General features: G+C 34.8%; 1 protein-coding gene across 2 annotated transcripts; it reads right to left on the bottom strand.

Annotated features, from left to right (window-relative positions):
- Positions 1-5,311: 5,311 nt before the first annotated feature.
- On the bottom strand, positions 5,312-11,364 carry OR4F17 (olfactory receptor family 4 subfamily F member 17). Of its 2 annotated transcripts, NM_001005240.3 has the most exons (3): positions 11,311-11,364; positions 10,913-10,995; positions 5,312-7,843 (listed from the first exon to the last, which is right to left on the bottom strand). In NM_001005240.3, the coding sequence occupies exon 3, from the start codon at positions 7,787-7,789 to the stop codon at positions 6,872-6,874; it is 918 nt and encodes a 305-aa protein (NP_001005240.1). In that variant the 5' UTR covers positions 7,790-7,843; positions 10,913-10,995; positions 11,311-11,364; the 3' UTR covers positions 5,312-6,871. The 2 variants fall into 2 exon arrangements, with proteins under 2 accessions (NP_001005240.1, NP_001416914.1); NM_001429985.1 differs by lacking the exon at positions 10,913-10,995.
- Positions 11,365-12,716: the final 1,352 nt, after the last annotated feature.

Genomic DNA, 12,716 nt, shown 5'->3' with positions numbered 1-12,716 from the left:
AAAACAATGCTTCAATGAATAGACTTGTGTGCATCAATTATTTTGTATTTTTGCCAATATATCTTTAGGATAGAAGTAGGATTGCTAGACCAAAAGTCAGTACCATGTAAATTTTTTAAGATATTGCCAAGAGTTGTACCATTTTGTATTCTCACCAACAATGCATAAGAGTGCCTCTCTCGGTGTTTTAGACATGAAGTCCTTGCCCATGCCTATGTCCTGAATGGTAAAGCCTAGGTTTTCTTCTAGGGTTTTTATGGTTTGAGGTCTAACGTTTAAGTCTTTAATCCATCTTGAATTGATTTTTGTATAAGGTATAAGGAAGGGATCCAGTTTCAGCTTTCTACATATGGCTAGCCAGTTTTCCCAGCACCATTTATTAAATAGGGAATCCTTTCCCCATTGCTTGTTTTTCTCAGGTTTGTCAAAGATCAGATAGTTGTAGATATGCGGCATTATTTCTGAGGGCTCTGTTCTGTTCCATTGATCTATATCTCTGTTTTGGTACCAGTACCATGCTGTTTTGGTTACTGTAGCCTTGTCGTATAGTTTGAAGTCAGGTAGCGTGATGCCTCCAGCTTTGTTCTTTTGGCTTAGGATTGACTTGGCAATGCGGGCTCTTTTTTGGTTCCATATGAACTTTAAAGTAGTTTTTTCCAATTCTGTGAAGAAAGTCATTGGTAGCTTGATGGGGATGGCATTGAATCTGTAAATTACCTTGGGCAGTATGGCCATTTTCACGATATTGATTCTTCCTACCCATGAGCATGGCATGTTCTTCCATTTCTTTGTATCCTCTTTTATTTCCTTGAGCAGTGATTTGTAGTTCTCCTTGAAGAGGTCCTTCACGTCCCTTGTAAGTTGGATTCCTAGGTATTTTATTCTCTTTGAAGCAATTGTGAATGGGAGTTCACTCATGGTTTGGCTCTCTGTTTGTCTGTTGTTGGTGTATAAGAATGCTTGTGATTTTTGTACATTGATTTTGTATCCTGAGACTTTGCTGAAGTTGCTTATCAGCTTAGGAAGATTTTGGGCTGAGACAATGGGGTTTTCTAGATATACAATCATGTCGTCTGCAAACAGGGACAATTTGACTTCCTCTTTTCCTAATTGAATACCCTTTATTTCCTTCTCCTGCCTAATTGCCCTGGCCAGAACTTCCAACACTATGTTGAATAGGAGTGGTGAGAGAGGGCATCCCTGTCTTGTGCCAGTTTTCAAAGGGAATGCTTCCAGTTTTTGCCCATTCAGTATGATATTGGCTGTGGGTTTGTCATAGATAGCTCTTATTATTTTGAAATACGTCCCATCAATACCTAATTTATTGAGAGTTTTTAGCATGAAGGGTTGTTGAATTTTGTCAAAGGCCTTTTCTGCATCTATTGAGATAATCATGTGGTTTTTGTCTTTGGCTCTGTTTATATGCTGGATTACATTTATTGATTTGCGTATATTGAACCAGCCTTGCATCCCAGGGATGAAGCCCACTTGATCTTGGTGGATAAGCTTTTTGATGTGCTGCTGGATTCGTTTTGCCAGTATTTTATTGAGGATTTTTGCATCAATGTTCATCAAGGATATTGGTCTAAAATTCTCTTTTTTTGTTGTGTCTCTGCCTGGCTTTGGTATCAGAATGATGCTGGCCTCATAAAATGAGTTAGGGAGGACTCCCTCTTTTTCTATTGATTGGAATAGTTTCAGAAGGAATGGTACCAGTTCCTCCTTGTACCTCTGGTAGAATTCGGCTGTGAATCCATCTGGTCCTGGACTCTTTTTGGTTGGTAAGCTATTGATTATTGCCACAATTTCAGCTTCTGTTATTGGTCTATTCAGAGATTCAACTTCTTCCTGGTTTAGTCTTGGGAGAGTGTATGTGTCCAGGAATTTATCCATTTCTTCTAGATTTTCTAGTTTATTTGCGTAGAGGTGTTTGTAGTATTCTCTGATGGTAGTTTGTATTTCTGTGGGATCAGTGGGACAAAAGCAATGGCAACAAAAGACAAAATTGACAAATGGGATCTAATTAAACTAAAGAGCTTCTGCACAGCAAAAGAAACTACCATCAGAGTGAACAGGCAACCTACAAAATGGGAGAAAATTTTCGCAACCTACCATCTGACAAAGGGCTAATATCCAGAATCTACAATGAACTCAAACAAATTTACAAGAAAAAAACAATCAACCCCATCAAAAAGTGGGTGAAGGACATGAACAGACACTTCTCAAAAGAAGACATCTATGCAGCCAAAAAACACATGAAAAAATGCTCATCATCACTGGCCATCAGAGAAATGCAAATCAAAACCACAATGAGATATCATCTCACACCAGTTAGAATGGCAATCATTAAAAAGTCAGGAAACAACAGGTGCTGGAGAGGATGTGGAGAAATAGGAACACTTTTACACTGTTGGTGGGACTGTAAACTAGTTCAACCATTGTGGAAGTCAGTGTGGCGATTCCTCAGGGATCTCGAACTGGAAATACCATTTGACCCAGCCATCCCATTACTGGGTATATACCCAAAGGACTATAAATCATGCTGCTATAAAGACACATGCACACGTATGTTTATTGCGGCATTATTCACAATAGCAAAGACTTGGAACCAACCCAGATGTCCAACAATGATAGACTGGATTAAGAAAATGTGGCACATATACACCATGGAATACTATGCAGCCATAAAAAATGATGAGTTCATGTCCTTTATAGGGACATGGATGAAACTGGAAATCATCATTCTCAGTAAACTATCGCAAGAACAAAAAACCAAACACCGCATATTCTCACTCATAGGTGGGAAGTGAACAATAAGATCACATGGACACAGGAAGGGGAATATCACACTCTGGGGACTGTTGTGGGGTGGGGGGAGGGGGGAGGGATAGCATTGGGAGATATACCTAATGCTAGATGACGAGTTAGTGGGTTCAGCGCACCAGCATGGCACATGTATACATATGTAACTAACCTGCACAAGGTGCACATGTACCCTAAAACTTAAAGTATAATTAAAAAAAAAAAAAAAGAGTGCCTCTCTCTACAGCTTCATCAACAGGTTGGATTATCAAATATTGAGGTCAGATATTTGATATTTTATAGGTTAGAACTGATATTTAAGTATCATTTTACTTTGCATGCATCTTAATCTGAGAGACTTGAACATTTTTTTCATATATTTAAAGATAGTTTAACATGTGCTGGTGAGGCTACAGAGAATGGGGAACACTTCTACACTGCTGGTGGGAATGCAACTTAGTCCAGCCACTGTGGAGAACAGTCTGGGGATTTCTCAAAGAACTAAGAGTTAAACTACCACTCGATCCAGCAATTCCATCACCGCATATATGCCCAAAGGAAAATACATTGTTTTACCAAAAAGACACATGAACTTGTATGGGTTGTCCCAGTGCTATTCACAATAGCAAAGACATGGAATCCACCTGGGTGCCCAACAACTTTGGACTAGATAAAGTAAATGTGGTACAAATCCACCACAAAATATATGCAGCTAATAAGAAGAAAGTCACATCCTTTGCAGCAGCATGAATGCAGTTGGAGGCCATTATCCTAAGTGAATTAACACTGAAACAGAAAACCAAATACCACATGTTCTCACCTACAAGGGGGAGCTAAACATCGAGTACACATGGACATAAAGATGAGAAAAACAGACACCACAGAGTAGCAGAGGGAGGATGGAGGAAGAGGGGAAAGAGTTGAAAAACTACATATTGGGTATTATTCTTGCTACCTGGGAGGTGGGATCATTTGTACTCCAAACCTTAGTATCATGCAATATACCTTTGTCTCAAACCTGCACATGTACCCTCTGAACCTATAATGAAATTAGAAAGAAAACCCCAAATATGGTCATTGTAGTCCAGAAGCTAAGATGTGGTATAACTGAATGGTTTATCAATTAGGAATGGATGTAAAAGTAACAATCTCTGTTCTTGATTTTAAGACCAGGTCTATGTGCCACATTTTATCTAGTCTAACATTGACGGGCATTTGGGTTGGTTCCAAGTCTTCCCTATTGTGAATAGTGCTGCAATAAACATACCTGTGCATGTGTCTTTATAGTAGAATGACTTACAATCGTTTGGGTATATACCCAGTAATGGGATTGCTGGGTCAAATGGTATTTCTAGTTTTAGATCCATGAGGAAACACCACACTGTCTTCCACAATGGTTGAACTAATGTACGCTCCCACCAACAGTGTAAAAGCATTCCTATTTCTCCACATCCTCTCCAGCATCTATTGTTTCCTGACTTTTTAATGATTGCCATTCTAACTGGTGTGAGATGGCATCTCATTGTGGTTTTGATTTGCATTTCTTGCAGCCATAAAAAAGAATGAGTTCATGTCCTTTGCAGGGACATGGATGAAGCTGGAAACCATCATTCTCCGCAAACTAACACAAGAACAGAAAACCAAACACCGCATGTTCTCACTCATAAATGGGAGTTGACCAATGAGAACATATGGGCACAGGGAAGGGAATATCACACACCAGGGCCTGTCGGGAGGTGGGAGGCAAGGAGAGGGATAACGTTAGGAGAAATACCTAATGTAGATGGTGAGTTGATGGGTGCAGCAAACAACCATGGCACGTGTATACCTGTGTAACAAACCTGTACATTCTGCACATGTATCCCAGAACTTAAAGTATTAAAAAAGACCAGGCCTAATTCAGATAATATGTATGTATGTATGTATGTATGTATGTATATATGTGTGTATATATATATACACATATACACACATATATGTATATATATAAAAGAGTAACATATTTTACTACATAGATTCCAAACTTTTCTGCCTGCCTCCTTCCCAGGGGAGGGATGTCCATAACTTCTGGTCAAATTTCAGGAGAAATTCTGAATATACTGGTTTCTCCCATGGCGTTGTACACATTAATGCCCTTAGCAGTTAAATGAATTATGAATAAATTAGGGGTAAATTTTACAAATAAATGAAAAATAAAAGTTTTCTGCCTACAACTGTAAAAAAAAAAAAAAGACTGATTCTCCTTATGTATGAACTGTAAGTTTAACTGTTTTGCCCATTTTCCTATTAATATTTTGGGTTTTGTTTTAGAAGTTCCCTATGTGTTAGAAGTACTAGTCTATTATGTGAGTTACAAGTAGTTTCTTCTCACTTTTAAATTTTCTCATAGTTTTATTACGCATTAAAAATTAATTTGATAGTCAATGTTATCCATCTTTACCATATTCATAGATTATAAAAACATTAACTTGTTTTCTTTTAATATTTGCATAGTTTTTTTGAAAAAAGAGTTATGTCTTGAATTCACTTAGAGATTGTCCTGGCATTTGGTGTAGCAAATAAATTAAATATATCTTTTCCCATATTGCTATCCAATTATCCCACCATCACATTAGTAGGCCTTTCCCCCCTGCACTGATTTGAGATACTGTCATTATTATTTACTACTTTTATTATGTGTTTTTAATCTGCTTATAAATTTTCTATTCTACTTTTCCTAAGATAAACATAATTTTGACCCTCTTATCATCTGACTCTCCTTATCTATTAATTCAAGTCACATTTTGACAAACTAGATTCCTTTTTTCTTAGAATATTTAGTGTTCAATTTTATTCTGGCTCAGTGATTCTCCCTGGAAAGAGAAGATATTTGTCAGAATCATTTGTTAAGGTTTTTTTTTTTCAATTTATATTTTCCTTCTATCTTAAATTTTCATCATGCCTTTCTAGGGTGGTAAGGTGGAAGTATATGAGTACACACTTGCACACAAATATACACACTTCCACTCACAAGTACAGTATCCCAAATGAGCATCTGTTAAGATTGGGATGTGTCATATTTCACAAGAATGTTGGGAAAAAGTAAAGTTTGAAACTTTTGGCTTTGTTAATATATAGGATTTTAATAGTATCTAATGTTTATTCATGCTTAATATGTCTCGAAGTGGGCTATTTGATTTATATCTATTTTGTCATTTTCCTTCATAATAACCGTGCATAATAGGTATAATCTCCTGTTTATAAATGTAGAAACTAAAGCTCATGAAAGCTACGTAATGTGCCCAAAATCATGATTAATAAGAGTCAGTAGAGTTGAATCCAGCTCTTTGTTTTTTACTTTAAAGCCTGTGGTTTTAAACATTAACCATGGAAAATGACATAGATGGATCCAAGTAATATACTTTGTGCCAACGTGATGAGAGCCTGGATCCCTCTAAATTCTTTCTACTGCTTATGAGCAGTTATACCACAGATGTCTAGGACCTAGAAGGCACATTTCACATTGGCAAACTTACTCTTCCACTCACTCCTGATAATGCCCTCATGGATTCTGGGTTGTTATAGTGGTGGGAGGTGAAGTATAAACTTATAATGGGAGGCGTTTGTTTTTCAACCTCTTAAAAGTTGACATATATCTCCTTACCACTAAGCATATATTTTTTAAATTAAGATGTGACAGTTCTTTTTTTATGTTTTTCACAAAATGGACCAAATAAATTTTTTTTTAAATTTATAAGCTAGGCTATATTTTCTCTCCTTTCTTCTACTAAACTTAGGGTCACACAGGAAGGAACAGATGTACACAAATACTAATATATTTATGCCTTTCTTTGTTCTAAGAATTAGCAAAAGAATATTTTGAAAGCATAATAACTTTGTATCTGTATTCCAAAATATAACACACAAGTTGTTGAAAGATAAATTGAGGCAATGTATGTGGAAGTTCCTAGACAATTAATAAATTATATGGGAATGGAGGGCACAATTTTCATGAGCTTTACTAAATAACTTACCAACTTCACTATATTTTGTGTCATTATCTGAGATTAATCTCACAGTTATATAAGATCTAAAACTTTACACTAGAATGTGCATCCCATTTTCTCAGCTGTCTTATTGCCGTCTTCATGTCTTTGTTCCTCAGTGTGTATATAATTGGGTTCAAGAGAGGGGTGATCACAGAATAAAATACAGCAAGGAATTTATCTAATGACTTGATGGGGAATGGCCAGGCATAAATAAAGACACATGGTCCAAAGAACAAAAGAACTACTGTAATGTGAGCAGTCAAAGTGGACAGAGCTTTGGACGACTTATCTAAAGGGCGATGCTGGATGGTCATTAGGATGATAGTGTATGAGATGATTAGAAGAACAAAAGAACACACAGTGAGCACACCACTGTTAGCAATGACCATAATATCTAGCCTGTAGGTATCTGTACAGGCAAGTTTGATTACCCTAGGAAGGTCACAATAAAAACTATCGACCTCATTGGGACCACAGAAGGGTAAGTGCACGGCAAAGGCCAACTGGCTCACCGAATGGAGAAAGCCAATTCCCCATGCGACAGCCATAATGCCGACACATGCGTTGCCACACATAATTGTAGTGTAGTGTAGGGGTTTGCATATTGCTATATATCTGTCAAAGCCCATGGCTATGAGGATCACCATCTCACTCCCACCAAAGAAGTGAAGGAGAAATATCTGAACAAGGCAGCCCTTGAAAGAGATGACTTTGCGCTGGCTGAAAAAGTCAGTAATCATCTTGGGGGCTGTGACTGAAGACAGAGACAGATCAATGAGTGAGAGGTTGGCTAGCAGGAAGTACATGGGAGAGTGAAGGTGGGAGTCAGATACCACTGTTATGACAATAAGAAGGTTTCCAAACACGATTCCTCCATAGAATACAAAAAACAACATAAATAGGAAGGTCTGGAGTCCCTGAGAATCAGAGAGACCCAGAAAAATGAATTCAGTCACCATAGAGTTATTCGTTTCACTCGTTGATTCATTCCAGGAAATAGCCTCTGCAGTTACCTTGAAGAAGAGAAGGAGAAGGAAGTCAGAATTATTATATTCAAATTCAAAGCCTCATTTTATATCATTCTGCTCACTCTTACAGTGACTTTCTATAATCTATTACTTAAAGACATTCAGAATTCAACAAGATCATAATTTTATCTCGCACTACTTCCCTGGCTATGCCTTATAATTCAGTTATCTCGGCTTCTCAGTGTCTCCATTAATGTTAGGTTTATTCCTAATATAAAATACCATTATTTATGCTTGTCTCTCTGCCAGATTAAGTCTATGCCATAACTCTATGTTTATCTCCTTTTTCTTTGAACTACAAAACAGTTTGTAGCACACATGTTATTTGGTGATATTAAAGTTCTTAAGAGAAAAAAATAGGCCAAAATGAAATGAAAGATAAAAAATAGAAAAAAAGAAAAAATAATATCACAAATATAATACTTAAAAATTAACAGAGGATAAAAGAATAGGGAATTCAAAAGTGAAGTGAGAAAAAGTGAGGAAAATGCAATAAAGTTTAAATGAGAGAAAGTGTGAAGGACTTTCATAGGAGATAAAACTGGTAAGAGATTTTGGAATGCTTTCTAAAGCATTTCTGTTTTATTATAGAGACAAGAACTACTGAAAAATTTTGAATGATTGTTTAATTTAGCTCTGGACTCAATGTGAATTGGAAGGGAGGGAGCTTGGAAATGAAGCCAAGTAATTATTTTAAGCCTAACAGTAGGTAATAACTGCAGGTTGTGGTTGTGTGAGCAGGAAAGGGGTGAATGAAGACCTGTAAGATCCCATCGAGCAACGTATTAAAGTAGTTAAGATATGAGCTTGTGTGCTAGGAGGCCTGTGTTCAAATCCTGGGTTATCTACTATGTATCTGAATGACCTTAGACAAGTCACCTAAGTGATTTCAGTCTTACGGCCACATCTGGAAAATATAGGTGATAATAGCACAACTTTATAGAAGTTCTGTGAGGATTGGATACGACCAGGTATATAAATTTTCTAGCAAATAGTAATGGTCAATATATAATAGCCATTATTAAGGTACTGATAACAAAATATTTTTTGGCAAGATGTGGAAAATAAAAAAAATGTTATTCCAATGTCTTTAAGTAATTGGGAACATTGTGATGGCTTTAACTCTGATAATAATTATAACAAGCACTAGTATAACAATACTTTACATAGAGATCCCTTTTAGGAGCAGAAATAAATACAGAAAAAGGTAAAGGATAATGATGACTGTCTAGACACAAGGAGGTATTGTTGGGGCATCTTTGTAAGTTGCTATCTGCCAGGTGAGAGACTGAACACTGACTTCTGGGCATGAGTTGAGAGCCATTTCAATTGTGTATGGAGGAGAGAAAATAAGTACTGTTTCAAGAAGTTTTGCAGTGAAGAGAAGTAACAAATAAAAGGTGTCCTGAAAGTGAGGCATAGCCATATTAACAATCTTTGGATTAGGTATAAGAGTTAATGGGCAAGTAAGATGTAAAAGAGAGAAGTGGAAATTGATCACTAACATTCCACGGGAGACATGAAGGTATAGAGTTTACACTTGCCATCTTTTTTGGAGGAATACTGTTATTTGATTTTTGCTGTTTTTTAAAGAACAGTAATTCATAGTGCTTGGAAATTCCACTTTTCTCTTTACTACTCTGAATCCCATTTCTTAGTCCTACACACTCAAAGCAGCACATTACTGTTTTTAAAGTCCTATAAAAATTTAGTGATCTTAAATATTTTTAAGAATAAAGAGAAGTCTAATAGTGGAATAAATCATGAACATTCACTTCAGTTCTCTTCTGCTTAGCACTGTAATAAATATAATCATACTAATCATTGACAGTACAAATGATAGGATTTTTATTGTGAGATAATTTCTGTCCTGACTGGTTGGTTGGACTGTTTCTTTTGAATCAAAGTGTGCAATTTAGAATAGACCTTAAATATGCATTGACATAAAATTAATTCATTTCATTGATAGGCAAGGACAATCTTGAAGTTATATCTTCACATGAAATATGCCAAGGATGAGGTTGACCCGAGGGTTCTCATCTGTAGCAAAAGACTTTCTATCATGGCTGTTAGTAAGAATTCAGGAATGCTATTCTTTAGCAAAAGGAATTTCTTGCTAACGTAGTTAAGACATCTCTCTCCTGAATTTGTGCTGCTGAGGGGATCCTTCACCACCATAATTCTTTCAAAGCTCATTTCTGACTTTTTAAAAATTATTCAAAAAAATTTAGAAGAATTGTATTTATTCTAAGTTGAACATTAAGTTTAGGCTTATTAAAGGAGTTCTTCAGAATCTTACACACTCATTGTAGCAACCATGAAGAGCCAGCCACTGTTGACAGGTAAAATCTTTCATGCCATAGATTATTCTTGGAATTCAACCATTAGAATTATATATAATATATATATTTATATAATATATAAATATATTTATATAATATATATTATACATATTTTATATAATAATATATGTTATATATAAATATAATATATATTATATTCTATAATATATATTATATAATAAAATATATATTATATTCTATAATATATATTTTATAATAAAATATATATTATATTCTATAATATATAATATATATTATATAATAAAATATATATTATATTCTATAATATATAATATATATTATATAATAAAATATATATTATATTATATAATAATATATATATTATATTTATATAATTTATATTATATTATATTATATAATATATATTATATTATATAATAAAATATATATTATATTTATATAATTTATATTATATTTATATTATATATTATATAATATATATTATATATATATAATATGTAATATATATAAATATATAGTATATATAATATATATATATATAAATGCCTTATGTCCTTATAGTAAGTCTCACTGAGATGGGAGTAGGCATTTGGGTTCTGGCACAAATTCACAGTGTGATCATGGGAATATCATTTAAAAATCTCTGGGCCTTAGCTTTCCTGTTTTTAAAATGAGTTTATTCTTTCAAAAGCTCTAAAAATCCTCACAACTCTAGCAGTATGATTTGTACCTTTATGTGAAAGAAATGCTCCAAACCAAGTTTCACTGGTATTATAAAAAGGAGGGAAGGAGGTGGGTAAGAAAACACCGGACCTGGGGAAAGATGGGGAAAAGGACTATTAAATGGGGAGAAAAGAACAAATTAGCCCAGAAGAGTGAGGAGGAGGACTCGACAATTGTTGCCAGCATAATACTTATAACAAGGGTTATTCTTGCTAACATTATTCATATTAATTTCTCTAAGTATTTAAGTTAACCATACAGAATCCTTTCATTTTTCCAGAAGGTAAACACAAAATGGAATTATGCAGAATAGATTCCTACTAATAGAACCATCTCATTGTCAATAAAATGCTACAATTTCATTCATTCTTCTAATATATGTGTTTTGTCTTTGTTTCCACCTACCTTCTTCATAACTGGAAGAGACTACAGCAATTTTCACAGAATGAGGCATAAAAACTGTAAGAGAATAATATGTAGTGAATTGTCCTTTTTAGTAAACCACTTGGTTAATTAAAAGCCCTTTATGAATGGACTAGATGTACCTGAAGAGATCTGGGAATAGCCAGTCTGAGCTTTGTGTACTGAGACTAACTTTTATAGTCTCACAAGTTTTCCCTTGGCCATTAGAGAAAACACACAGAATTTTCCTGAGTGAGAGGACATTGCCACAATTTTTTGGCCTATTTGGATATTTTTGCTATCTCACTGAGTCTAAAGGTGCTTTTTAAAGAATCACAGCAAAACAAATATAATAAAGTTACAAAATTAAAATCCAGATAGGTTAACAAGAGAGTAAGTAATAATGCTTCGATTTTATAAAAAGAGGAATGCTTAGAACTTTTATGACCAACTTGCGGAGAAAATATAGAAAAATTGCTTTAACCAATAAAAAACCTCACTTCTTGTAACTTATTTTATTTTGCATCTTTAATTACCATGCAGTAGTTAAAAGTGAGCTGAGTGAGTCACCACAATTTATGTTTCTTAAAATAGTCATAGAAATACATCCAAGTGATGTCTCAGTTGTGTTCCTTGACCACCAAACTTACCAGGTTTTACCTGAAAGATGTCAATCGCCTTCTTTGTCCTAAGCACCTTAAGTTAAGCACAGGCACATTATATGTGCTTTTAAGATCTCAATGGGGTCTCTTCTCCAGGAAATAAATCTCTTCCTATACTTTTAGGTTGTAGATGCTTTTTAAGAGTGACTCGAGAAATGCTTTGAAGAAGATTTCAAGGGCAATAGGATTGTGTTGTTAAAAAAGTGTAACATAGACAAATTTTGCATAATACAGAGTACTAGAGTCTATTTTTTTTATTATACTTTAAGTTCTAGGGTACATGTGCACAATGTGCAGGTTAGTTACATATGTATACATGTGCCATGTGGGTGTGCTGCACCCATTAACTCGTCATTTAACACTAGTTATATCTCCTAATGCTATCCCTCCCCCTTCCCCCCACCCCACAACAGGCCCCGGTGTGTGATGTTCCCCTTCCTGTGTCCATGTGTTCTCATTGTTCAATTCCCACCTATAAGTGAGAACATTGTACAAAACATATTGACAATCAGCCTGAAAATAATACTTAAGGGTTGTAACAAGCTGTTGACCTTACCATTTATCTAACTTAAAGTACAATTAAAATAAAAATTGTTTCTTCCTTGATTTTGGCATTTACTAATTTATATAAACTCATATTTTATCCATTGGATCCACATAATTTCCATAAGAAAATTAATTTCCAGTGATGCTTATTATCAGCATAAAAATACTGATAAATAAACCTAGGTCATATATATGTGTATG

Source organism: Homo sapiens, chromosome 19, assembly GCF_000001405.40.
Source record: "Homo sapiens chromosome 19, GRCh38.p14 Primary Assembly".
NCBI lineage: Eukaryota > Metazoa > Chordata > Mammalia > Primates > Hominidae > Homo > Homo sapiens.
Note: the sequence above shows the minus strand (reverse complement) of the source record. Positions and strands in the feature narration are given on the sequence as shown.